This window comes from Homo sapiens, chromosome 1 (assembly GCF_000001405.40).
Source record: "Homo sapiens chromosome 1, GRCh38.p14 Primary Assembly".
NCBI classification, from domain to species: Eukaryota; Metazoa; Chordata; class Mammalia; order Primates; family Hominidae; genus Homo; species Homo sapiens.
In genome coordinates, this window is record NC_000001.11 from 231,612,162 (window position 1) to 231,640,001 (window position 27,840).

The 27,840-nt window shown below is 42.3% G+C and overlaps 1 protein-coding gene and 1 long non-coding RNA gene across 31 annotated transcripts in view, besides 5 other annotated features; both read left to right on the forward strand.

Annotated features, from left to right (window-relative positions):
• The window catches only part of TSNAX-DISC1 (TSNAX-DISC1 readthrough (NMD candidate)), a 512,620-nt gene that overhangs the window by 83,509 nt on the left and 401,271 nt on the right, over positions 1-27,840 (forward strand). For 4 of the 8 annotated variants that reach the window (NR_028393.1, NR_028394.1, NR_028395.1 and 1 more), the window contains one exon: positions 4,483-4,745. The exons of 2 other annotated variants lie outside the window; for them this stretch is intronic. This is a non-coding gene — a long non-coding RNA (TSNAX-DISC1 readthrough (NMD candidate)). Of the gene's footprint in view, positions 1-4,482; positions 4,746-5,791; positions 5,899-27,840 lie in introns of all 8 variants that reach the window. 2 more of the 8 variants (NR_028400.1, NR_028399.1) reach the window with 1 other exon arrangement.
• Positions 790-959: an enhancer, noted in NCBI's record as "active region_2731". NCBI's record gives its function as "activates an Ori minimal core promoter by ATAC-STARR-seq in GM12878 lymphoblastoid cells {active_cell/tissue: GM12878}" and the evidence as "EXISTENCE:reporter gene assay evidence [ECO:0000049][PMID:35858748]".
• Positions 5,788-5,988: a silencer, noted in NCBI's record as "peak764 fragment used in MPRA reporter construct". NCBI's record gives its function as "represses an SCP1 promoter by STARR-seq MPRAs in K562 erythroleukemia cells {active_cell/tissue: K562}" and the evidence as "EXISTENCE:reporter gene assay evidence [ECO:0000049][PMID:32103011]".
• Positions 14,525-14,784: a silencer, noted in NCBI's record as "silent region_1954". NCBI's record gives its function as "represses an Ori minimal core promoter by ATAC-STARR-seq in GM12878 lymphoblastoid cells {active_cell/tissue: GM12878}" and the evidence as "EXISTENCE:reporter gene assay evidence [ECO:0000049][PMID:35858748]".
• DISC1 (DISC1 scaffold protein) overlaps positions 14,629-27,840 on the forward strand; it is a 414,483-nt gene continuing 401,271 nt past the window's right edge. For all 23 annotated transcript variants that reach the window (NM_001164537.2, NM_018662.3, NM_001012957.2 and 20 more), the window contains exon 1: positions 14,629-14,773. In NM_001164537.2, coding sequence (NP_001158009.1) covers positions 14,707-14,773 — 67 coding nt within the window. In that variant the 5' untranslated portion in view covers positions 14,629-14,706. The remainder of the gene's footprint in view (positions 14,774-27,840) is intronic.
• Positions 15,115-15,174: a silencer, noted in NCBI's record as "silent region_1955". NCBI's record gives its function as "represses an Ori minimal core promoter by ATAC-STARR-seq in GM12878 lymphoblastoid cells {active_cell/tissue: GM12878}" and the evidence as "EXISTENCE:reporter gene assay evidence [ECO:0000049][PMID:35858748]".
• Positions 16,148-16,348: a silencer, noted in NCBI's record as "peak765 fragment used in MPRA reporter construct". NCBI's record gives its function as "represses an SCP1 promoter by STARR-seq MPRAs in K562 erythroleukemia cells {active_cell/tissue: K562}" and the evidence as "EXISTENCE:reporter gene assay evidence [ECO:0000049][PMID:32103011]".

The window sequence follows — 27,840 nt, forward strand, 5'->3', positions numbered from 1 at the left end:
CATTTTCTATTACTATCATGGCCACCAGTGGAATGCAGATATTTAGTCTCTGCTCACTCCATTTGCCACCACTGCCAAATGGCCGATGCTGCTGAGGGCTCTTCTCAAACTGGCAGGTGTGTTCTCCTTATCACCTGTCTCATGTGTGTTTCATTTTCTCTTCTCAATTTCTCCAAGGTTAGGATTAAAAAGAACACATTTATTTATTTATGACTTTATTTAGATAGATACAGTGCTGATGGTGTGCAAGCCAATTTCATAGGCTTATTCTTAGTTGGTCCTTATTGCTGTGAAGTTCACTGCCTTAAAATTTAAAATGTGAGGAATCACAGGAAGTGGAAGAAATAATTGCACCTGGGATCCTGAACCATGTCACTGCAGACCTGCTTACCTACTGCCTTATTGCATGTCCTCTGTTACGTGTGAGCCAGTCTCATCTATTCAAGTAGCCTGTTATTTTTTTGAATTGATAGACTTTATTTTTTCTTTTTATAGAGACAGAGTCTCTTTATATTGCCTAGGCTGGTCTCCTGGACACAAGTGATCCTTCTGCCTTGGCCTCCCAAACTGCGGGGATTACAGGCGTGAACCACCGTGCCCGTGTCCGACCAGTAGACTTTATTTTTTGAGATGGAGTTTTGCTCTTGTTGCCTGGGTTGGAGTGCAATGGTGCGATCTCGGCTCACCACAACTTCCGCCTCCTGGGTTGACTATTTTTAACAGCAGTTTTAGGTTTGCAGAAAAACTGAACAGAAAGTACAGAGTTCCTGTATACTCCCTCCCCTTCTCCACAGCTTCCTCTATTATTAACATCTTGCATTGGGTTGCACATTTTTTACAACTGATGAGCCAATATTGATACATTACTATAAACTGAGGTCCATAGTTTACATTAGGGTTCACTCGTTGTGTTATACATTCAATGGGTTTTGCCAAATGCATAATGTCGTGTATCCACTGTTACAGTATCCTGCTGAATGATTTCACTGCCCTAATAATCTCCTGCGGTCTGTCTATTCATCCCTTTTCCCTTCTCTTTGCCGCCAAGCAACCAGCTAATTTTTGCATCCCCCGCAATGCCTAGCACTGCTTGTGTATCCAGGAGGTGCTAATTAAATGCATAGGTTGGTTGATGGCAACAGTAACCAAAGAGATGAAACCATGGATTTAATGTCTATGAGAATATCAACACATAGTCTTGGTGTGCTCAGGCAGCGCTTCTAGAACCATCATCTGTAGCAAATCATGGGATGTTCCAAATCAGCTCTTCATGAGCAGGAAGGTGGAAAGCCTCTGGATTAGGACAAAATCTTCTCAATGAGTGAAGTGCTTTAGTCAGCGTCTCCTGGGAAGGGCTATGGTTTGATCACGGTGTGCAGCTTTGCTGTTTCAAGGGCCCTGGGGGCAAACCAGTCAGATGAGCTTCTGGCATTGACCTTGTGCAGGAGGGGCAGCTGGAGCTGTGGGTGAGTGCACATTTCATTGGGCAAGTGCTTTTGCAAGAGGCTCAAGGGCTGTCGGTGCTATTCGTTCCCCAATAGTGTTAGCTCATTCAATGTCATTTCCTGGAAGACAGGTAAAGAAAATAGATGATTTTGATTGTTAGGGAGAATGACTTCCTTTGAAGAATGAATGGAGAAAAATGCCTTCCTGACAAGATGATAAAACCTCTTTATAATACTTCATGCAAACTTCGACTAAATCATCTTATTTCTCAGTTGGGGAGGTGAAATGAATAATAGCAGAATAGGGGAAGGGAAGATAGAAACTAGCAATGATTGAGGGTTGCTACATATGAAACTGTTCAAATGCATTATGTCATTAGAGTCAGTTCTTGCCATATATGCCTGAATGGAAAGAATTTTGCACAGATAACTTTTTTGAATGTCTATTTGGCTTTAGAATTCACATTCAGTTGTTTTGATAGAGGGGTAGGCAGCTGCAGATTGACCTTTCCAAATCCATGGGAACCAGGCTGGTGATAAAGTCGGCTGTCAATCACTAAGCAAAGCTCGGCAGATGGGTGGTGGAAGATGACCTGGGAGCAAGGAATATCTTTGGTGGATGACATGATTTGGCTGTGTGCCCACCCAAATCTCATCTTGAATTGTAGTTGCATTAATCCCCATGTGTGGTGGGAGGGACCTGGTGGGAGGTAATTGAATCATGGGGGCAGTTACCTCCATGCTGTTCTCATGATAGCGAGTTCTCACGAGATCTGATGGTTTTATAAGGGGCTTTCCCACCTTCACTCTGCACTTCTCTTTCCTGCCACCATGTGAAGAAGAACATGTTTGCATCCCCTTTCATCACGATCATAAGTTTCCTGAGGCCTCCATAGCCATGCTGAACTATGAGTCAATTAAGCCTCTTTCCTTTATAAATTACCCAGTCTCGGACATGTCTTTATTAGCAGCATGAGAACTGACTAACACAGTGGAATTGTAAACTGTTTCCAGTGGTCATCACTGGTCTTCAGTCTCTGTTCTCACATGCTGTAGCATGGCCTCAGGGATGTATTCTCATCCTCTTCTACACCCTTGCTGGAGCCTCCTCACCTGAGTGGCCTCAGGAACGGGTAACTACCAATCAAATGATATATTGAAAGGTTAAAAACCCAGAGGCTAAATAGATCCCTGGAGATTGAAAAAGGAAGTTGTTCAATATTGCCTCAAGATTTTCATGATGTACTTTCAGACCCCTAAGTTTCCTTATGTACCACATATACATACACTTCAGTTCAAACTCTGGCTGTTTAGAAGGCTAGTTGAGATGTAATGACTTCTTGTTCTTTGAGAAAGCGCAAAAAGCTGACTGGAGTCAGAGCAAAAGAAGTAGTGGTTGCTTTTCTCAATAGGCAAAAGGTGAAGGGAAGTGGTAATCATATTCTCAGAGGTTTCAGGCCAAAGACTTGGAGATGGCAACCCATTGTGAAGAGAGGGTCAGGTAACAAAAGCCTTCAAAACCTGACCAAGATGATTAAAGTAAAAATTCCTTAGCCACCCTCCCCACCCCTATGCATCAGAGCTGAGCCTCAGACACTGAAGGAGGGCAGCCTGGAATCCAGGTGGCTCCCCAAGGTCAGTTCCTCACACCAGTGGGCTCCATGCTCTGTTCACACATTAATAAAAAGAATATGCCTCTTTAGTACATTCTTTCTTTTCTTTCTTTCTTTCTTTCTTTCTTTCTTTCTTTCTTTCTTTCTTTCTTCTTTTCTTTCTTTCTTTCTCTTTCTTTCTTTCTTTCTTTCTTTCTTTCTTTCTTTTCTTTTCTTTTCTTTTCTTTTCTTTTCTGTCTTTTTTTTTTTGACAGAGTTTTGCTCTTGTTGCCAGGCTGGAGTGCAGTGGCACGATCTTGGCTCACTGCAACCTCCGCCTCGCGGGTTCAAGCAATTCTCCTGCCACAGCCTTCCTAGTAGCTGGGATTACAGGTGTCTGCCACCACGTCCAGCTAATTTTTGTATTTTTAGTAGAGACGGGGTTTCACTATGTTGGCCAGGCTGGTCTCGAACTCTGGACCTCAGGTGATCCACCCACCTCGGCCTCCCAAAGTGCTGAGATTACAGGCATGAGCCACCATGCCCAGCCCTCATATTTCTTTTAAAATAAATTATATACATTATTTTAAATTGTAAAAATCCAAAAAGCCAAAAATTTTTAAAAGAATGAGATAAACAGTATCTTTCAAATAATGAAAAAAAAATGGTATATAATGTTAGATTTAGGCTTGGCTTCATATAAGAAAAAACAACTAATGGTGGCATAAACAAGGTAACAATTTTTCTCTGTCCCATAAAGGAAATCTAAAGGAAGGCAATCCAGCAGGGATATGGCAACCCCACAAAGTTGTCATGGAACCAGACTAATTCCAGTTATCTGCTTTGCCATTACTAAGCTGTGGCTTTGTCTTCAAGGTTCAAGATGGCGTCTAGAGCTCCAGCCATTGTATCCATAGTCCCAGATGCCTGATGAATGAAAGAAAAGTCTCCTCTTCCCCTTTAAGATTTCTTTAAGTCCCATAAAACATTTTGAAACCAGATTGGAAGTCTTTTAACCTTCTGATTCCAACCTAGAGCAAGGAAATCCCCCAAGGAGTGCTCTACCATGTGAAATCTTCTCTTCCCCATGTTGTCATGATCCTGCCCTCATGTGCTCTGACTATTGCCAAGCCTTGGATTTCATTTCTGGAATAATGCCTTGCTCAATATTAGAACCACTTTAGTTAGGATTTGGGGGAGGCAGCATGATTGAAGAACGTGAGTGCTGTTGACGACAGTATTGTTGGTGAAAGCAGCTCCAGTTCCACAACTTACGATCTGAGACATCGTGTGGCCATTCATGTACAGGCTTTCAGAACTGAGAGAACTTTGGTAGACTAATCAAGATGAGATAGGTTATCCGGTGGCAACAAAGATACCTACGTCTCAGTAGCTTAATTCAATGTATGCTTCCTTTTCTCTTGTTCATGTTTTATGTTTTATAGAAGTTTACAGGCAAGATCCTACTCACAGAGGCTCTTGGGATCAAGGCTGACAGAAGCTCCATCTGAAGACTTTTATACTATAGAGGCAGAAAAAGAGTGATGAATCAAGCACTGGCTTCTAAAGCTTCCGCCCAGATGGGAAGCATATCTCCTCTGCTCACATTTCCCTGACCAAAGCCAGTCACATGGCCATCCTCAGCTTCAGAGAGGTTGGGAAGGCATTCCCACTATGTGTCTGGATGCCAGCAACTCAGAAATATTTGGTGAGTGCCTCTGTGGCTACTGGTAGTTTAGTTCTTATGCCTATGTTCCAGTTTTGTCCTCTGAAAGGCCAAATCTGAAATTCAAAATCTTACAAACAGGTTTATACTTGAAAACGGGTAAACATTCTCATAACATAAAGCTTAATAATATTCATGAGCTTATTTTTGCAAACTCTGCATCACACCGAAAAGAGAAGTTCTCTGGCTTCCTCAGCTCAGGGGCTGTCTCATTACTTGGTCCCTAAGACCACAGCTGGGGACTGGTTCTACCTACTATGGAAGTTTCACCAGCCAGGACAAAATAAAAAAGAAAGGAAAAACCAGGATAAATGAGCTTTTGAGAAAGCAAAATTCACTGTTTTTAAGGAACTGTCCTAGCTTCTATCACATATGTATTATTTTTTTGAGGTTAAAAGAAGGCTTTTCTATATGAAATAGTGGCGATGGTAGTTGGTAGAAGTTTTTTTTTTTTAAAGAAATGTATGGCTGGGTGCGGTGGCTCACGCCTGTAATCCCAGCGCTTTGGGAGGCTCAGGCAGGCAGATCACCCGAGGTCAGGAGTTCAAGACCAGCCTGGCCAACATGGTGAAACCCTGTCTCTACTAAAAATACAAAATTAGCTGGGGATGGTGGCGTGTGCCTGTAGTCCCAGCTACTCGGGAGGCTGAAGCAGGAAAATTGCTTGAACTCAGGAGGTAGAGGTTGCAGTGAGCCGAGATTGAGCCATTGCACTCCAGCCTGGGCAAAAAAGAGCAAAACTCTATCTTAAAAAAAAAAAAAAGTAAATTTACTTGGCAAAATAAAATGTTAGTGTCATTATATATCTCACCTTCTTGTTTTTTCTTAAATTTTTAGCAACCAGCCATGAAACAAAAGTTTAAAAGCCACTCATCTGGTTTCCCCTTTGTTTTCAAAGAAGGAAGCTAGAAAATTAAGTGATGTATCCCCAAACACACACATTTAATTGGAGAAAGAACCCCTAATCAATTCTTGAATTCAAATTTCAAATTAGCTGAATGGCATGAACCTTTCTTCCCCTGGAATAGCCTTACAGAGACCTCACCATTAACAGCATCTGCAAGAGAAGATTAAAGCACACGATTACTTTACTCACTGTGTAACACATGAGGAACATGGACGAGATGGGAAAAAGGTGAGTGGCTTAACGTCAAGCACTTCATTAATGAGATGAACTCCTGACTTTGGACAGTGGTCCACTTACAGACGCTGTCTTTGAAACTGCCTGCAGAGCCTCCTGAGATCTTCTAATATGGCTGTTGAATTGGGGCATTTAAAAGCTTCTGATGGTTGCAATGTGCATCAGTTTTGGGGGACAGGGAGGTCCCCTCTCTCTCATTAAGAAGACACAAGCCAGGAATTTATACTGATCAGACAACATAAAAATCAGCTGTGAGAGGATTGGGTCAGAAAACCAATGAAGAGAGGTTGGCCAGAAGATTAAAAATCAGAAAAAGAGGCTTGAAATTGCTGAGCTTTCTAATGATAATAAGGTTGCCACCTATTATTATGGCCACTCATGTTGTCCCCCTGTATATGAGAGCTGTGAGAGTAACAAAGTGTTACGTGTCAAGGGTCACATGTGACAATCAATGTGAAAGATGGAAAGAGAGGGCTGGTGCCTATCACCTAGGAATGATAGGTGATATGGCCGAGGTGATAAACAGTGAGAGGGGGGCGAGTGTCTCTTCCTCGGTGGAAGTTGGAGTAAATGTAGACACGGATAGAGAACAAAGTCTACTTATTCAAAACCGAGCAGCCAGGGGAGGAGCAGTCCTCCCACAGTGAACTATTGAATTGTGAATAAATCTCTGACTGGAGAGATTCTGAGTCAGGGGGATTAGCTGTTCCTATATTACATGTGGTAAACTGGCAGAAACAGGTTTAAACCATTGAGTGGTAGGTCTTTAGGCAGAGTAAAATTAATGTACCCTTCCTTAATGGCTTTGGCTGTTTGACCATGTAAACGCATTTTGAGTATCACATCTCTAGCGGAGGCTAATCACTGGGAGGTAAAGATGACCACAAGTTGCAGGCATCTCGGGATCACAGGTCTAGAGCGGGAGCCTGCAGCCTCTCTGCCAGTTTCCCATGAATTATCTCACTATTGTGGCTTTAAGACAATATGCACTGCAAAAGGAAGGTTATTTACATTATATATTTAGCCTAACACTAGGATAACATCCTTTGGCATGGCCACTATCTGATGGTATTTGAAACTGAACCAACTTCCTATTTCCAGGCATTAACAAATGAGAGTCTTCATGTTGTCTAATGTTATTTCCTGAGTTTAAGACTGATTTCTTTTCTCCAATTCATTCACATTTCTTTAAAGAAAAGATCTCCTTTAAACAATTAAATTTCCCAGAATTGTTTGAGCATTGTTATTGTTCTCAATGAGAATATTTCCTATTTAACTCTAGTTATGTAACTTGATGGGAATTTTCTTCAGTATCTATCATTGCCATACTCAGAGAATTTGCAGGACACTTGACAGATAAATCAACCAGCCTGTCAAGAGTCAGAATCTTAATTTAGATCATTCATTCCAACAAGTCTCTGGGCAGACAGGATGCAAAAATGAATAAGGCATGGCATTTGCCCTCAAACAGCTTACAATTTAGAAGGGGAGATGAAAAGGAACATTGATTGTATATAAAGCATGATTGTCATAGCCCTTCTCCTGTCTCATCTTCCTCTGGGAATAAAATTAAGGGAAGGGGGAGAGAATATTATGCATGAAAACACAGCATACTTATTTGCTAAGTATAAGTCTCATTATATGAATGGAGAGTGACAGTTTGTACTCAGGCATCAGAAAATGCCATTTTCTCTAGTGAGAGAACAGTATATGATTGTGGGTAGGAATATGGGCTCTATAGCCAGATTTCCTGGGCCCAAATCCCTGCTCGGCCACTTACTGTGTTTGAGATTTTGAGTAAGTTCTAACCTTCTGTGCCTCAGTTACCTCGTCTAGAAATGGATATGAAACCAGGTTATTGTAAAGGTGAAATACCTTTAACAAGTTTAAATTGTATAGAATAGTGTCTGTCATGTTGTAAGTGTCCATGAGTTATTATTAGTAAACTTCTAAGAGATTTCCATATTCTTAAACACAATTTTTGGTAGTGATAATATTTTATTTCCATTTAAATGTGGTAAAAAAAAACCCATCATATTTACCACGCTTATGTGTAGAGGTCAGTCGTATTAATTTATTCACACTGTTGTGCAATGGATATTTAGAGCTTTTTTTTGAGACAGAGTCTGTCTCTGTCACCAGGCTGGAGTGCAGTGGTGGGATCTCGGCTCACTGCAACCTCCGCCTCCCAGGTTCAAGCAATTCCCCTGCTTCAGCCTCCCGAGTAGCTGGGACTACAGGCGCGTGCCACCATGCCCAGCTAATTTTTGTACTTTTAGTAGAGACGGGGTCTCACCATGTTGGCCAGGATAGTCTTGATCTCTTGACCTTGTGATCTGCCCGCCTCGGCCTTCCAAAGTGCTGGGATTTCAGGCATGAGCCACCATGCCCCGCCCTTTAGAACCTTTTATTTTACAAAACTTTTTAAAAAGGATACTCTGTATCCTTTAAACTACACCTCTTCATTTTCCCCTTTCCCAGTCCCCAGCAGCCATCAGTTTACTTTCTGTTTCTAGGAATCTTACTACTTAGTTACTTCATATAAGTGGAATCATATAGTATTTGTTACCTGGCAAAAGAGTTGTACATTTTACTTCCTCTGAGCTCCTAGATTCTGGCTACAATTTCATACCTCTAGTATTTCATGTTCATTGACTGTGTAAATGTAATCTGTAGATATGCATAATTTCAATGCAACAGAGCAACTGCTGATCCTGCTAGTGATGCAAAGATTCTAGGCTATGACCTCAGATTGTGTCAGCATGGCATTACTCCATTTCCAATCTCATGAAGACTTTGGTAGTATTCACAAGAAAGAGTTGTCCAGTAATTTAAATTTAAAAGATTGATAGAACAATCATCCCTTCATCATTTGCTCTTTGTTATCCTCTCTGTGGACAACCTTTACATGTCTTAGCAGCCAGAACTTAGAAGCAGAGGGAAACTATAGATGTCATTTGTTTATTTGCAGGCAGCAGGATTCATGGTGTCTAATCTTCACCATGACATTTAAAGTAGGCACATTTGGGGATGGCTGTCCAAAGTGATGGTCTCCACTTGCCCCTCATTCAGGGTTGGTTTCCTGGGGGCTATGCTTGTCTTGTGTTCCTATGGGGTCCACTTCTTCAGTTACACTTGATGACCTGAGAGAGGGACCCCCGACCTACTGAGCTCACTAGGATCTTGCTCCTAAAGATCCAGAATCGGCTCCAAGAGGGTCGAGCTCTTCATGTGGCTGGATTACAAACAGGTAAACTTGGAAGCAACTGGAAGCAGATGTGCAGAAAAAAGTAGGGATGAGCAAGACTTCCAGGGTCCTTCTGGCTTTCCAGAGCTGGCTCTAGTGTTTCCAGAAGACCAGCTTCCTTATGCCTTCAGACTCCATGAAATGACTCTTGTTTCCTCACCAAAATTTGTTTTACTTCAGTTAGAGTATATTGGTTTTGGTTAGTTGCAATTAAGAGTGCTAATTAATACAGCATTGTGTTGGAATGAGAAAGCTGTCAAAAAACTAAAGGAAGACTGCTATAGTACCCACACCAGAGATTTGGAGTTGGGAGGTTTACCAGTGAGGGATCAATTGGAGAAGGAGAACCACTATAAGTATTGTGGAATAAGGAATGTATTACAGGAATTAGACCTCACACAATTGTGAGAAAAGCTGGAGAAGCAGAAGTCTAAAAAGGGAGATGAAGGATCTGAGAAAGGTGTTTAACCAGCCCTGTGTGGGTGAATGAGTTGGGGCTTACAGAAAATCTGGGAGCTATGTATGTACAGCTGTTGGAGGAGGACTGTAAAGGGGCTGGTATAGACATCTACAGAAGGTTGATGGTTCTGTGTCTACTTCCTCTGTGAATGTGCAGACAAGCATCTCATAGGGAGCCTGGGGCTGCTATTGGTCCATAGAGCTAGTAGTTGAGGAGGAGACCTGGGCATGGAATAGGGAGAGACAGGGCAAACTGGAAACCACCAGCACCTTTGCATCTGTCTCTGACTGTCTCCAACCAACAGTAACCTTAGAACAAAATGACTACTGCTCACTGCCACCTCCCAAATATTATTCTTTTGGCCAAGTGTAGCTGGGATCCATTCAGGGAAGGTGATTCTGCAAAACATAGTTCCCAGAATAATCAAGGTGAAAATAGAATAATCTTGCACACAGGTCTTTGATAAGACTAGGAATATATAATACATAACAGCTAGGAAAAAATATATAAATTTTCCCCAAGTGCTTATAATGAACAAACATATTTGGGAACCATATCCACCTAGCCTAGTCAACTAAATTAAAAGCTGGAGTCATCTTAGATGCTTTCCTCTCAATTACCCTCAACATCTAGTTACCAAGTTTCATATAATTTTACTTCCTAAGTGTCTCTTGAATATGGCCCCATTTTCTCCCTTTTTCTCTCACTCTCTCTCCTCTCATTTTGACACAAGGTCTTACTTTGTCATCTAGGCTGGAGTGCATTGGCGTGAACATGGCTTACTGCAGCCTCAACCTCCCAGACTCAAGTGATCCTCCTGCCTCAGCCCCCCAAGTAGCTGGAACTACAGGTGCATGCTACCATACCCAGCTAATTTTTTTTTTGTAGAGATAGGGTTTCACCATGTCACCCATACTGGTCTTGAACTCCTAGACTCAAGCGTTCCACTTGTGTTGGCTTCCCAAAGTGCTGGGATTACAGGTGTGAGCCACCGCGCTCAGCCAGCCATATCTTCTCTATCCTTGTTACAAATGCTTATGGTGTCTTACCTGGAACTCCTACCTGTTTCCTAATCAGTCTTTCTGCATCTACCACAAATCTGTCCATACTACCACTACAGAAGGGGGTCCCAACCCTCACTGTGCTTTAGAATCACCTGGAGGGCTTAAAAAAATCCATTGCCTGGGCCCCACTCTAGACCATATATCGGACCCTCTCACAGCAACCTTCTATGGTACCACCATTACCTTTGTTTTGCAGATGAGCAGACTGAGACTTAGCAGAGGGTTAAATAACTTCTCAAAGTCCACAGCTAAGAAGTAGTGGAGCTTGGATATAGTGCCGTTATCTGAGTGCAGAGCGTATCCTCCTAACCACATAGTATGATGCCTTCCAGACTATGCCACAGGGCTAATGAGATGGTTGGTAGGACCAGTAGTGGAGGTATGGAACACAATTAGAAGTACAGAATTGAGGGGAAAAGAATGGGAATGGTTTTCAATTTGGTTGGTTTGAATGGATTCTTAGACAACCAAGTGGTGCTGTTGAGGGGGCAGTTGGAAATACAATGAAGCTCAGTCTAATTTAGGGCTAGTGAGGGATGGACAGGAGGAAATGGATACAAAAGACAATTCTGAGGTGGAAAGGACAGGATCCAATGGCTGAATGAAAGGGCGAAGGTGAGCGGGGATGTAGGATTGGCTGGGAGGAGAAGAAGAGAGTAAAGCTATCTTGAAGAAAATTTAATACAGGAAGGGCAGCAGTTTTGGGAATGTGCTAGAGAGGACTATGAGAATAATTTTGGTGATATTAACTTTGAGAACCCAGCAGAATCTGTAAGTTGGAAATATGAATCTGGAGTTTGGGAGAGAGGTTGCAGTCAGGGATTCTGATTGAGGTTGCATCGGGTGGTTGAAACCCTGGAAGTGGATGAGAGGGATGAGTAAGGTCAAGTATGAGGGATGCTCAAGAAGAGAAGCAAGCCATGGATTAAATTCTGGGGAGATCCAAGATAAGGGGTGGGGAGAAGGGGAGAAACTAATGAAGGGGACCCAAAGAAAGGAGTGAGCAAGTGGGAGGAGGACAGGAAGACAGATAGATAGATAGACAGATAGATAGAGAAGACAGAAGAGAAAGAGAGAGAGAGGAGAAAGAGAGAAACGGAGAGAGATAAAGAGAGGAGAAAGAGATAGAGAGAAGAAAAAGATAGAGAAAGAGGCAAAAGAGAGAAAGAAGAGAAAGATTTATTTTAAGGAATTGGCTCACTTGATTTTAAGGTCTAGCAAGTTTGAAATTTGAAGGGCAGGCTGCTAGGCTAAAAATTCAGGCAGGATTTGAAGCTTCTCTCTCTCTGTTTCTCTCTCTCTTTAGGCAGGGTCTCACTCTATTAGCCTGGTCTCACTCTATTAGGCTGGAGGGAAGTGGTGCAATCACTGCTCAGTGCAGCCTCGACCTCCTGAGCTAGAGTGATCCTCCTGCTTCAGCCTCCCAAGTAGCTGGGACTACAGGTACAGGCCACTGTGCTGGCTAATTAATTTTTTTTTTCTTTATAGAAAGGGTTTTGACAAGCAATGGGTAAAGAATTTCCTAAATGGTGATGGGATAACTGGCTAGTCATATGCAGAAGATTGAAACTGGACCTCTACCTTACAGTTTATACAAAGTTAACTAAAGATGTATTAAAGACTTAATTGTAAAACCCAAAACTATAAAATCCCTGCAAGACAACCTAGGCAATACCATTCAGGACATAGGCATGGGCAAAGATTTCACGACAAAGATGCCAAAAGCAAAAATTGACAACTGGGATCTAATTAAACTAAAGAGCTTCTGAACAGCAAAAGAAACTATCAACAGAGTAAACAGACAACCTACAGAATGGGAAAACAATTTTGCAAACTGTGATCTAACAAAGATCTAATATCCAGCATCTTATAAGGAACTTATATTTACAAGAAAAAACCAAACAACCCCATTAAAAAGTGAGCAAGGGACATGAACAGACACTTTTCAAAAGAAGACATATATGTGGACAACATTCATATAAAAAAAGCTCAACATCACTGATTATCAGATAAATGCAAATCAAAACCACAATGAAATACCACCTAACACCGGTCAGAATGGGTATTACTAAAAAGTCAAAAAATAACAGATGCTGGAGAAGTTGTGGAGAAAAAGGAACACTTTTACACTGTTGGTGGGAGTGTAAATTAGTTCAGCTATTGTGGAAGACAGTGTGGTGATTCCTCAAAGACCCAAAGACAGAAATATTGTTTGACCCAACAATCGTATGACTGGGTATACACCCAAAGGAATATAAATAATTCTATTATAAAGACACATGCACACACATGTTCACTGCAGCACTATTCACAACGGCAAATATATGGAATCAATCTAAATGCCCATCAATGATAGGCTGGATAAAAAAATATGGTACATATATACCATAGAATACTATGCAGCCATAAAAAAGAATGAGATCATGTCTTTTGCAGGGACATGGATGGAGCTGGAGGCCATTATTCTTAGCAAACTAACACAAGAACAGAAAACCAAACACTGCATGTTCTCACTTATAAGTGGGAGATAAATGATGAGAACACATGGACGCATAGAGGGGAACAGCACACACTGGTGCCTTTTGGAGGGCGGAGGGTAGGAGAAGGGCGAGGATCAAGAAAAACAACTAATGAGCACTAGGCTTAATACCTGGGTGACAAAATACTCTGTACAACAAACACCCATGACACAAGTTTACCTATGTAACAAACTGAACTTAAAAGTTAAAAAAAAAAAAGAGGTTCTTATTATGTTGCCCAGGCTGATCTCAAACTTCTGGACTCAAGTGAACTTCCACCTTGGCCTCCCAAAGTGCCTGGCCTTAGATATTCATACATTTATTTATTTTTAGAGATGTGGTGGGGGTGTGGGGGGTCTCTCTCTGTCACCTGGGCTGGAGTGCAGTGGCCCCATCATAGCTCACTGAAGCCTTGAACTCCTGGACTCAAGCAATCCTCCCACCTAAGCCTGCCGAGTAGCTGGGACTACAGGAGTGCACTACCATGCCGGGCAAACACACTGATTTTAAGTACAACTGTGTGCTTTCAGTCTTAAGATCTTCAGCTTTTGAAGGACCTCAGCCTTCCTCTAGTTCTAACTCCTCTCGTTCTAAGGAGATCCTTCCCATTCCTGCAGAACGTCTCCCCAACCCTTCTTCTTCACAGTTCTCCCTCCTATCCCTGAACCATTGCAAGAGGTTTTGTGCCAAGCCTCTGGCACATGGCACATTCTATCTCATGTTGTGATTTCGTTTTCTATGCACGTGCTCTCCTTCTAGCCTGGAGGTGAGCTGCTTAAGGGCAAAGAGCTCATGTGTAGCCCTTCCTTGTACCCATTGTCCTATAGCAGGTGCTACCTAGGGGGTGCTCCAGTAGCTTCCTTGAATGAACCAAAGAGAAGGGGTGAAGGGGGGAGTCAGTTGCCTAGGAGCTTGCATGGACTTCTGTGTCCTGGAACCAGCCCGGAGCTGCTGGAAGATGCTAGAAGTTGGAATCCTATCTCATTTCTAAACATCTGCTCCCACTCATCTCTTTCCAGGGTCATCAGTTATCCCCACTCCTCCCCCCCGCCCCCACTTTGTATAAATGAGCCCCTCACATCCCTCCATCTTCTCCATCACTGTGTGGTCACTTCTTAAATCATGCGTCTGGAAGGCGCCCTCCTGTACCCCATCCTGGAGGCTTCCTGCACTTCCCCTCTTGTTTCTTCCAGAAATGAGTCAGAGTGAAAGCAAACTTTCTGAGGTCCTGAGATCCCGGAGACAGGCTGTGAGGGCCGCTGGCCCCGCCCGCTCCAGCAGCGTGTGTGTGTATGTCTGTGTGTGTGTGTGTGCGCGCGCGCGCGCGCGTCAGGGGCCAATGCTGGAAAGGAAACAGCGGACTCGCTGAGGAGAAGAAAGGAGCCGCCCCCTTCGTCGCCAGCCCCCTCCCCACTTCCCGTCCAGCGCGCTGCTCCCTTCCCCCCGCCTCTGGCCTCGGGGAAGGAGCAGGAGGCAGCCCAGGCGGAGCGGGAGGAGCTGGCAGCGGGGCGCATGCCAGGCGGGGGTCCTCAGGGCGCCCCAGCCGCCGCCGGCGGCGGCGGCGTGAGCCACCGCGCAGGTAGGGGAGCTGCCACAGAGTCCTAGCACGTCCTGGGGGGGTCCTGGCAAGGAGGGCGCGCTCTGGCCCCCAGGAAGTCGCGTAGGTCAGGGCGTGCCTCTGTTAACAACCCCTTTCGAGGTGAGGGAAACTGAGGCAGGACGCGAGGCGTGCGAGGTTGAGAGAAGAGCGAGTCTTGGGCTGCCAGCCCGGCACCAGCGCCGAGCCGGGCCAGGTCCCTGACCCAGGACTGTGCAGCGATCCCCGGGACCCGCAGTTTGCGAAACTGTAGGAGTCTGACCCGCGCCCCCGCTGCGTGTCCAGGTGACCGGGAAAGGTTGCAGAGGCGTGCTTGGGGTTTGGATCCGTCCCCGTCCTGGGACACCTGCGCCGCCTGCACTCTCGTTGCGGTGCGCCCCAGCCTGCGCCCCCTCGGGACAGGGGACGTCCCGCCCGCCTTAACCCCAAGACCCAGCTGGATCTCGGGTTCCACCCCTTCGGGGACCTGGAGGGAGGAGGCTGGGAGCGGGACCAGGAACTGGTGCCTGTGCCTTCCCTAGGGGCTGCTCTGAAATCAGTGTCACCGCCCACTTCCTACTTGGCTACAGTAACGGGGATGGCCCAAGCCGGAGACTGCTCGGTTTCCACCGCCTGGAGCGCGGGTCTCGCTGTCAACTCTTAGTGATGATTGTGGATGGTTGTTTTTCAACAATGACAGGACTTCTACCTTCTCACTCTTAAAATGTGAGGTTTTCCAAAGACAGTGAGATTTGGAGTTAGGGAGTGCTGCCTTGTGTTCTTGCTGGGTGAGGACAGGGCTGGGTCAGTCGCTTAACCTCTCAGAGCCTCAGTCTCCTGAAATGTAAAGGAGAACACTCATAGCCTGGCCTCCATGTGTCGTTAGGTTTGTTGTATGGGAAATCAATTTGCAAAGTGTTATCATCAACTGGACAAATTTGAATTGGACAGCACTAGGACCATAGGAACTGGGGTTTGGAGACAGTCTGCCTGCATGTCAATCCTGGACATGCAGGAGACTATGACAGTACCTGCTTCATAGGGTTGTTATGCGGTTTAACTGTGATGGTGGAAGTGAAGCACCTCGCCCAATGCCTGAAATACCCAGTGCACTCTCAAAAAACCTTAGTTGCTATTTTTCCTAGGCAAAATCTAAATAATTGGGAGTAATGTGAGAATACCAGTTTGATTTGATTAATGCAGGAATAGTAGGGCATTTAAAAACACATGTAGTTCTCCTGTGCTCGGCATGGTACATGAAGTCCTCTGAGGTTCAGTTCTGTGCCACAGAGCAAAAAGAACCGTGGACAAGATACCCGCTTTTCGGGCTCTTTGACTTTGAGCCTGTTTTCTCATCTGTTTACAAAAAAGATAAAAGAAAAATGGGGGTAGTAATTACTGCCTTTTGTACTGATCGCATTGCCTGAGGATTAAATGAGGCAAAAGATCTGAAAGCACCTTGTGGAGTATGAGTCACTATGCACATATAAGACATGATAGTACTAGGAGGGAATGGTAACATCTGCAGGTTTTTAGAACTTACAATGTGCCAGACATTTTATTATGAATTCCTTTGATGAAATCCTCCCTGCATCTTTATGGGACTGGGATTACAGTCCTCATTTCCCTATGACAAAGCTGAGGTTCAGGGTCACCCTGCTTGGTTCCCAAGCTCACAGAGCTCTTAAGTGTAAAGCCAGGATTAGAACCCTGGTGTGGGTGCCACTCACAACTGTGTTCTTGGCCGCTTGCCAAACTGAACTTATAGAGTGGAGCTGTGATTCAGAACAGACCTATATTAGAATTTAGGTAATTTTTTTTTCTTTAGGAGACAGAGTCTTGCTCTGTCACCCAGGATGGAGTGCAGTGGCACAATCATGGCTCACTGTAGCCTTGAACTCCTGGGCTCAAGAGATCCTCCTGTTCCAGCTTTTTGAGTAGTTGGGATTACAGGCGCATGCCACCATGCCCAGCTAATTTTTTTTTTTAGAGTTGGAGTCTTGCTATGTTGCTCAGGCTGGTCTCGACCTCCTGGCTTCAATCATTCCTCCCACTTTGGCCTCCCAAAGCGCTAGGATTACAGGCATGAGCCACCAGGCCCAACCTCCATCCTGCATATCTATAGACCCAAAATGTAAGAGTGAACTGTTAATCCTGGCAAAAGAGGCTTTGGCATAATTTTAATTTCCCTCAGACTTATTTTATAAAATATACTTTAAACTATCTTCTTGTAAAACAAATGATGACAATTTGCAGAAAAGTTATTAAAACATTGAAAGAACAGGTTGCAAGATCTCATCACAAATCTCTAAGTGGTATCTGGATTGTTTTGTTTTGTTTCAACACTCATTTGCCAGAACCCTTAGGATAGCACATGAGGTGTAACCGGAAATCGAGGCGTTGGGTGTCATGGTTACTTTGCAGGGCTGGGCCCCGGGACTTTTCTGCAGGAAGTTCATTGCTCACCCAAGATGCCTCCAGAAGAAAGCAGAAACTTCCGAGAGGAGCGTGAATGCTCTGTTTCTGTGCTGCAGAAACAATTCCTAGTTTATTTGTTTCCTAAATTAAGTTTATCTTATTGGTTTTTGTTTTTCCAAAAGCAATGCATGCTCATTACAGGAAGCACAGAAAGCTACAAACAAGTAAGTGAACACTAAAAAATACTGTAATCTCACCAAGGTAGACAAATAGCTTGGTGTCTCTGTCCTTGTAACCCATTTCTATGCTGCATGCATCCATCCAAAAGTGAGAGGCAAACTATTATTGTTTTTTGTTAAATGACAAAAATAGTACTTGCTAATTGCTCAAACATTATGACATTAATGTAGAACAAAGCCAATTTATTATGCTCATTAAAACTTTTTCTTTTTTTAAAATCTAAAAATTTTGATTGGAGAAGGATTAGAGACTAAATTGTTGATATTTGAATTTTATTGTGGTTTTGGTTAAAGTTTGATGCAGGACCTTCAGAGCAAAGAGAGGGTACAATGGTGACCTTTAAACAATATATATATTTTTTGAGACGGAGTCTCGTTCTGTCGCCAGGCTGGAGTGCAGTGGCACGATCTCGGCTCACTGCAACCTCTGCCTCCTGGGTTCAAGCGATTCTCCTGCCTCAGCCTCTCGAGTAGTGGGATTACAGGCGCCCACCACCACATCCAGCTAATTTTTGTATTTTTAATACAGACAGGGTTTCACCATGTTGATCAGCATGGTCTCGATCTCCTGACCTTGTAATCTGCCCGCCTCAGCCTCCCAAAGTGCTGGGATTACAGGCATGAGCCACTGCGCCGGGCCCTTTAAACAAGATTTAAAGACCAGCACACAAAGTTTCTGAGTACAAAAAAAGGTAATATTTTAGGTTAGGGTCATTAGACCAGAATTAGAATCATTCTTTTTTTTTCTTTTTTTAATTAAAAAAGATGGGGTCTCCTTATTTTGGCCAGATTGACCTTGAGCCTCAAGCAACTTCTGCCTCGACCTCCCAAAGTACCAGGATTACAGATGTGAACCATTGCACCTGGCCAGAATCATTCTTTTGATAATAATGATGGTAATTGAGTTTATATGCTGTGTTCTCATGAATCCAAGCAGAGCCCACTGTTTCCAGAGATTCCCTTGGCAGCCACCCTGGGTTGAGGAGGGTCCCCTCCTGGCACAGCTGGAACCACCGGTGAAGAGCCATTTTTCAGTCAGCACCGTTTAGTAATATAAGACTTTTAGCCTCGAGGAGTCTTCCGTTGTTAGTTCCTAACTTTAATGACTTTGTGGTAAAAATTCCTTAGCGAATGACTTCTGTGCAACAATCATGTAATTTTTAAAATTCCAGATGCTTTAGCCGTTCAGAATCCATTTTTTCTTTCAAAACCAGAGTTCACCAGCTGTTTCTCTTGAGCGAAGACTTTGCAATGAGCTTTCAAATGTTCACACCAAGTAGAAGCAGGAAGGGAGAACTGTGGCTGGGCAATGAATGAAATACTGACATTTAGCTGTAGAAGGTAGGCAGGGGCTCACATGGTGTGCACAGCCCCTTATATGACTACTGGTCCTGTATCTGCTTCCTTTCCCTGCCCCATTTCCCCTTTGGCTTTTTGTCATGACTCAGAAATGGATGCTAGACATTATGGGGCTCCCTCCAGTCACTCGGGTCACTCGTCACAGACTTATAAACAGAATCACAGAACTTATTGTCAGATGAAGCTTCAAAACACCAGTTGGCTAAACTCCTTGTGTTCTGGCAGGTAAGATGTCGGCATCCTTATTTAACAAATGATGCTACTGAGAACTATGTATGCAGAGACATAGTCTCAAAATAAGTGCAGTCATGCCTCGCATAATGACGTTTTGTCAATGTCACATATGTGAGAGTGGTCCCATAAGATTATACTGGGCTGTCAATTTCCTAATGCCTAGTATTTACTATACATTTTAATGTTATTTTGTGTACTTCTACTTAGTAAAAAAAAGTTAACTGTAAACCCGCCTCAGGCAGGTCCTTCAGGAGGTATCAGAAGAAGGCATTGTTGTCATAGGAGATGATGGCTCCATGCGTGTTTTTGCCTTGAAGGCCTTCCAACGGGACAAGGTGTGGAGGTGGAAGGCAGGGATAGTGATGATCCTGACCCTGGGTAGGCCCAGGCTAGTGTGTGTGTTTGTGTCTTAGTTTTTAACAAAAAGTTTGAAAAGTAAAAAAATAAAAATTAAAAATAGGAGCTTATAGGATAATAAGGATATAAAGAAAAAATATTTTTGTACAGCTGCACAATGTATTTGTGTTTTAAGCTGTGTTTTTATAAAAAAGTCAAAAAATTAAAAAAATTTAAAAATTATTATATATAAAGTAAAAAAAGTTATGGTACGCTAAAGATAATTTATTGTTGAGAAAAAAATTTAAATGAATTTAGTATAGCCTAAGTGTACAGCGTTTATAAATACAGTAGCATGAAATTATGTCCTCAACCCTCACGTGCACTCACCACTCACTCACTGACTCACCCAGAGCAACTTCCAGTCCTGCAAGCTCCATGCATGATAAGCCTCCTATAGAGGTGTACCATTTTTCATCTTTTATAGTGTATTTTTACTGTACCTTGTCTATGTTTAGATATGTTTAGATGGAAAAGTACTTACCATTGTGTTACGGCTGCCTACAGTATTCAGTACAGTAACATGCTGCACAGGTTTGTAGCCTAGGAACAGTAGCTATACAATATAGCTTAGGTGTGTCATAGCCTATACCATCTAGGTTTTTGTGAGTACACTCTATGGTGTTTGCATGACAAAATGACCTAATGACACATTTCTCAGAAAGTGTCCCTGTCAATAAGTGATGCATGACTGTGATTGAAATAAGTAGCCCCACATTATTTTTCTCATGTCAACTTCAGGTTAATTTTCCAGCCACGTGGCCTTGTGCTTGCTCATCATAAAAAAATGTGGATAAAATTCTACCTGTTAAGCCACAACATTTGCCTGTCATGGGTGGACATTTACCGTTTATTTTCAGAGTTCAAAGTTTGAACTCTCAGAGAAATGCAAATAAGACAGTAAACTCCTCGAGGTGAGGAATGGCAATCTCTGAAGATAAATCATATATTTATTGTACAGTATTGAATGTTGTAAGTGGCAGTAGAGATCATGTAATCTGGCCTTCTTCTTTTACAGGTGAGAAAAGTGAGAAACAGCAGCAGAGTGATTGTTAGAACCTGGCTCCTCTTCTTTTACTTAGAACTGTTTTCATTAAGTTGTGTTTCATTTCATAGTTCTGTATAATTCATCCCTGCTTAAGATACATTAAATGAATTGAACTGAATCCCTTTTTTTTGAGCTATGATGGCTCTTAAAAACTTAGATTTTCAGCCAGGCGCAGTGGCTCATGCCTGTAATTCCAGCAGTTTGGGAGGCCAAGGTGGGCAGATGACCTGAGGTCAGGAGTTCGAGACCATCCTGGCCAACATGGCAGAAACCCATCTCTACTTAAAATACAAAAATCAGCTGAGCATGGTGGCGTGTGCCTGTAATCCCAGCTACTTGGGAGGCTGAGGCTGGAGAATCGCTTGAACCTGGGAGGCAGAGGTTGCAGTGAGCCAAGATCATGTCACTGCACTCCAGCCTGGGCTACAGAGAGAGACTCCGTCAAAAAAACAAACAAACAAAAAACCACGTAGATTTTCAAGTAATTACTATTGTTACACTAAATGTCAATGGATCCTTAAGAATCTATTTGTTCATGAATTCATTATTTATTCATTCAACGTTTATTGAGTGGCTACTTGGTTCAGAATTAGAATTAGCATGACAGCCACACATTAGAAAGGTATCACTTTTTGACTAAATTAAAAACTTGCTAAAAATAGTTATCCATTGATGGAATAGGCTACCCCGAAAGGCAGAGAGCATTTTGTCATTGGAAGTATGTAGGGCAGTGTGGATGACTCTAGGGTGACTGTCATGAGGGTTCTGCACTGGGGAGGGGGCTGCGTTGGATGATGAATGGGAACCCTTCCAGTGCTAAGATGCTGTGATCGTTGTCCTGCAGGATTGGGATTGTGCAGGATTTGAGCTACTGTGTAAATTTCCTATTCCCTGCTCATTGGGCTTCCACATTTTGCTTCCTTCCCTTGCCCAGGTGGTTCCATTTCAGGAAGCCTAGATAGCTTCTTTGCAGTCATCTGCCCGAATGTCGTAGCTACTTTAACTCCCCAGAGCTGTACATGTCTAGGATTGATATTGATCATTAACACAATTATGTTCGCCCAGATGAACAAATCTACCAGGAGTAGAAACGTGCATTTGACAGGTGGCCTTGCATGGAGACTAATCGCTTTCACAGGTTGAAAGGTGAAATATCTAAAGTTTAATGAGTAAGTTGTGTCCTGAATGTGGAATCTGAGTTGAAATTGCATTTTGTGACATGTACGCCTACCTAACTTTTCTTTTTCATACCTGTCATCTTTTTTTTTTTTTTTTTGAAACGGAGTCTTGCTCTGTAGCCCAGGCTGGAGTGCAGTGGCGCAGTCTTGGCTCACTGCAACCTCCGCCTCCCAGGTTCAAGCAATTCTTCTGCCTCAGCCTCCCAAGTACCTGGGATTACAGGCATGCCCCACCACGTGCAGCTAATTTTTGTATTTTTAGTAGAGACAGAGTTTCACCATGTCGGCCAGGCTGGTCTTGAGCTCCTAAACTCAAGTGATCCGCCTGCCTCGGCTTCTCAAAGTGCTGGGATTACAGGAGTGAGCCACCGCGCCTGGCCTGTACCTGTCATCTCTTGGTTTGTGAGTGGATTGATTATTGGACTTTATTTTTAACACAGGAGAATGTGCGTGTTTTGCATTTGTAGTGAAAGCATGCCTCATCTTACTCCAACACTGATAGGAAAAGGAAGATTATTTTACAATGGTCAAGTGAAAAAAAAAGTAAATACAGAGATAAAACGGGGTTCTAATATTTCTGCTACACTGGAAACTTAGAGTTGCAAGAGCTGTTTTGGGATCACAAATCTTCTGAAGAAAAAAAGTTTGCGTATTTCAGTACAAGTCTTAATGTTTCCCTAGCGTCTTGTGTTATAGCTGCAGGCCAAGCAAAATGAAATGTGAGACACTGTCCTTGGGGATAGAGCATCTGTATTCAATTTAAACAGTAGATTTGGGGGCCTTAAATTGCCTCGACTCTATTAATCATTTTGTGTTCCTTAGTTTATAGAATTATCTCCTAGAGACATTAACTTATCCATTAATTTCTTCCATTGTGTTTATTTATTCATTCACAAACACTAGCACCTACTGTATACACAGTACAGTGTTGTACATTGCAGGGTACTTAAAAATGTAGAGTGCCAGGCATGGTGGTGCATGCCTATAGTCCCAGCTCCTTGGAAGGCTGGGGCGGGAGGATTGCTTGAGGCCAGGAGTTCAAGGTGGCAGTGCGCTATGCTTGTGCCTACAAATAGCCACTGCACTCCAGCCTGGACAACATAGCAAGACCCTGTCTCAAAAAAAAAATGAAAAAACTCCCCCAAAACCAAAAATGTAGATTGTTCTCAAGGGCCATCCAGTCTAGAGAGAACTAAGGGAGCCTGGTATTCTTAGGCCTTAGAGCTTAACAGCCACACCTAGGATGCCTCTTCAGAAGGTGTTCCAGCCCTTCCTGTGTCTTCCCAGTTCTGATACTGGATTATGTCATTATGTCTCTGTTGAGTAACTCCTTCCAATCAGGCCTGCACACTGCTGCCAGGACAGTCCTCACAAAGCACAGATCTGATTGGGTTATTGTTCCTCTGTGGAAGGGGCTTTCAGAGACTCATTATCTCCCCCCAAGCAAATTCTTAGCATCTCTTTTCAAGCTTTCCATACACTGGCCCTTAAACACTTAAAACGGACACTCTGGCCTTTTTATTATGCACATTATTCTGCCCACCGAGAATATTACAGAATCCGTCTTTCTTGCTCCCAATCTGAACGCATCAAAATGTCATCCCTCATTTACCACCTAGCAAATCAATAATGCTTCTCAGCCTTCCCTGGTTCTCTGGAATCGTCTGCTCTCTCCTTCTTCTGTTATAGTTTGTTATGGATATAACCTGTTTTTCTGACTCCAATGTAGACTTCTTCAACTCAAGGTTTCAGTTCTGGTTTATCTCCTTACTCCCTCATCTATGTAGTACACTTATGGTTTACTCTGTTCTCACTGGATTAGACCAAACTCTTAATTATATTTAGGATGTATTAATCCAATGCATAGATTAACCAAGTCTATTATTTTTATATCTTTTGAAACCAATCAGGAGTTTCAGAAGTTCAGTTCAGTTTAAATATTTATTGAGATGCATACACTATATAGTCAGATACTATGATAGCTCTTGAATATAAAAAATATATATACTTATGTTTGTATATATATGTGTAAATTGATATGTAAATTCAAATAGATAGTGTTGTCTACACCATTGAGAAGCCTATAGTCCCGTGGAAAAAAGAGAATTCATTCTCATGAAGTTTCCGGATATTGTTTCATCAGAAGGACTGGGCACATCGGGGTGTACTAAAATCATTAAGAAGTATTTAGCACCAGTAGATGCCTAATAAATACCTTACAGTCTAGATGGATGGATAGATGGAGGAAGAAAGAAGGGCTCCTTTAATTTATAATTTACCTATTGCTGGGTTTACTCCTAGGTATGACAATTTTGAAAACAATTTACTCAATGTTTATTTCCACACTGTGTATGAAATATGCTGCTCTTCATTCAGAAAGAGATATATAATTCTCCATTTGTAGAACACTGAGTTAATTTCATGGTTGTGATGTTGCTTTTGCTTACTTTCACCCACATTTTCTCCTCTGTAGGGTGGCAGCTCCGTAGGGTGGACACACGCTTTGGGAGACCTGCAGCTGTTTGTGTCTGGGGGCAATGGTGAAGGGCAGTGACTCATTGGCCCAGAACTCATGATCTCATCTCTCACCCAGCTGGCTAATCGGCCTTGGGGACAGGAGGATGAGCGCTGCACTCCCTCCTAATCATGCAGCTTTTGTATGTCTTTCTTTACTTGACTTAAATTGTAATTTGAATGGAAAAATGGACAAATTCTATCATTTGAATTTAACTTTTATATATTTTCTTGACTCTGATTTGGGATTATCTAAGTGCATTTATTCAAATATTTATTGTGTTTTTGAAACTTTTTTTGAAAAGCATAAGGTAATACATGATAAAAGATATTGTTATTACCCCTGTTTCTGCCATTTCAAGGAGTCAGAACAGGCTCAGTGGAAACAAAATGAGATGTCTTATGGGAGTTACTTTCCCTTCAGCTAATCTTGGTATGAATTTATATTGACACTACCTTTAAAATTTTATTCTGCTTTTTAAATTTTACTTTAAGTTCTGGGATACATGTGCAGAACATGCAGGTTTGTTACATAGGTATACATGTGCCATGGTGGTTTGCTGCACCTATCAACTTGTCATCTAGGTTTTAAGCCCCACATGCATTAGGTATTTGTCCTGATGCTCTCCCTCCCCTTGACCCCTACCCCCCAGCAGGCCCTGGTATGTGATGTTCCCCTCCCTGTGTCCATGTGTTCTCATTGTTCAATTCCCACTTATGAGTGAGAACATGGGGTGTTTGGTTTTCTGTTCCTGTGTTAGTTTGCTGAGAATGATGGTTTCCAGCTTCATCCATGTCCCTGCAAAGGACATGAACTCATCCTTTTTTATGGTTGCATAGTATTCCTTGGTGTATATGTGCCACATTTTCTTTACCCGGTCTATCATTGATGGGCATTTGGGTTGGTTCTAAGTCTTTGCTATTGTACATAGTGCTGCAGTAAACATACGTGTGCATGTATCTTTATAGTAGAATGATTTACAAGCCTTTGGGTATACACCCAGTAATGGGATTGCTCGGTCAAATGATTAGTTTTTTATTTATATAAATTTATGGGGTACAGTGCAATTTCATTACATGCATAGTTTGCCTAATGGTCAAGTCGGGGCTTTTAGGATGTCCATCACCCAAATAATGTACATTGTACCCATTGAGTAATTTCTCATCCTTCACTCCTCCTATCCTCACCCTTCTGAGTCTCCATTGTCTGTTATTCCACTTTCTACATCCACGTGTGGACATGATTTAGCTCCCACTTGTAGGTGAGACCATGTGATATTTGTGTTTCTGTGTCTGACTTGTTTCATTTAAGATAACGGTTTCCAGTTCCATCGATGTTGTTGGAAAAGGCATGAGTTCATTTTGTATGGCTGAATAGTTTTCCCTTTTGTATGTATACCGTATTTTCTTTATCCAGTTCTCTGTTGATGAACATCTAGGTTGATTCCATATCTTTGCTGTTGTGAATATTGCTGTGATAAACATGTGAGTCCAGGTATTTTTCTGATACATTGATTTATTTTCCTTTGGGTAGATACACAATAGTAGGATTGCTATATTAAATGGTAGTTTTATTTTTAGTTCTTTGAGAAATCTCCATACTTTTTTCCATAGAGATTTTAATAATTTACATTCTCACCAATAGTGTTTAAAATTTCCCTTTTCACTTTTCACTGCATTCTCTTCAATATCTGTTATTTTTTGACTTTTTAATAATGGCCATTCTGACTGGCATAAGATGACATCTCATTGTGGTTTCAATTTGCATTTCTTTGATTAGTAGTAATGTTGAACATGTTTTCCATTTGTATGTCTTCTTTTGAAAAATGTCTATTCATGTCCTTTTCACACTTTTTAATGGAATTATTTTGTTGTTGTTGTTGAATTGTTTGGGTTCCTTGCATATTCTGGATATTGTTGGATGCATAGTTTGCAAATATTTTCTCACATTCTGCAGGTTGTCTCTTAAGTCTGTTGATTATTTCCTTTGCTCTGCAGAAGCTTTTTAGTTTAACTAAGTACCATTTCCCTATGCTTTTTTGTTGTTGTTGTTGTTGCCTGTGCTTTTGAGGTCTTAGTCATGAATTCTTTGCATAGACCAATGTTCAGAAGAGTTTTCCCTCAGTTTTCTTCTAGTATGTTTATAGTTTTGGGTCTTATTTATAAGACTTTAATTCATCTTTAGTTGAATTTAGTTTTGTATATGATGAGGTATAGGGGTCCAGTTTCATTCTTCTGCATATGGCCATCCAATTTCCCCAGTATCATTTATTGAAAGGGGTGTCCTTTGCCCAGTGTATGTTCTTGTCAATGTTGTCAAAGATCAGTTGGTTGTAAATATGTGGCTTTATTTCTGGGTTTTTTATTCTGTTTCATTGATCTATGTGTCTATTTTTATACCAGCCTATTTGTTACCTATTGCTGTGTTTACTCGTTATTCTCTTTTTTAATGAGTAAAATACCCTTTTTAAAAGACAACATCCAAATTAGGAGACTGCCTTTGATTAAAATGAATAACTATTAATCATCACAGAGCAGGGAAAGTGTGAATCATCAGGAATTTAGTGGAGAGAAATCCACTGTTTTGGGTATGTCTTTGTATTAGTCTGGGGTAAATTTCTTGAGGACAAACCTTGTCTCATTTGCCTTCTTATAATTCATGTTAGACTTATAGTAACAGTAAAGACTTACTGAATTGGGTTGCTTTAAAACAGCATGTGTAATATAGCCACCATGGCATGCAGGAGTAGGTAGAATTGCCCCCAACCAGGAGTGGCTCTTGAAACATCACAGGGAGAGGATTAGGTAACGGTTGGGTTAGAAAGAGGAGCACAAGGCACTTGTCTTCATGTTGCTTGGGCTCACAAGCACACTTTTCATGTAGATTGCGTGTTCAAGATCAACATGCCAAAAGTGGCAAAAATCTCTAAAGGAGCCTCCATCTACACATTTCGTGAGAGAAAAATGTCCATTCTCCATATCAAAGCACATTATCATGATTTTAATTTGGAGTGGATTTAGGGGACTGATGAAGCATGGGGCACTGCAGCATCCCCCTAGCCAACCCTTACACCTGTGGTGCTCCCAACACCTCCTGCGTTCATCATTTATCATGAAGTATGGTGCATTCCTGAAACACTGGACAAGTGCATCTTCTCCTAGAAGCACGGAGGTACATTCCAAAGGCAAACTCACTTAAATTGTGATCAGAATACTTCAACTTGCTTGCTATTGTTGTGGATAAGTGATAGTTAACCACAACCGGCTGAGTGGCCAGGTGGAAAGGACATGGATGGGGAAGGAGGTTCAGGGTCCTGCATAAGTCCTCTAGTGTCTGTAGATCTCAGTGTCCTCCCTTGTGAAAATGGGGATAATATCAGCCCTCAATTTACACAGTTGTAGTGAAGGTCCAATGTGATCAGTGTTTGTCACAACCTGTCATCATTTATGTGTATAGAACTGCTTTTACTATAAACTTGCTTGTATTGTCCCCAGCAGCCAGTCCTGCCTATAATCTGTTGGCTTCATTGCTTGTCCAGTGATCTGTGGCTCCCTCCTGTCCTAATCCAGGTCCAAGTGGATTAATGTTATCTGATTCACGTTAGTGTTTCTACAGATATGTAATGTTATCTGAATCACATTAGTGTTTCTACAGCAAAACAGATGCTTGTTCCCACTAAGTAG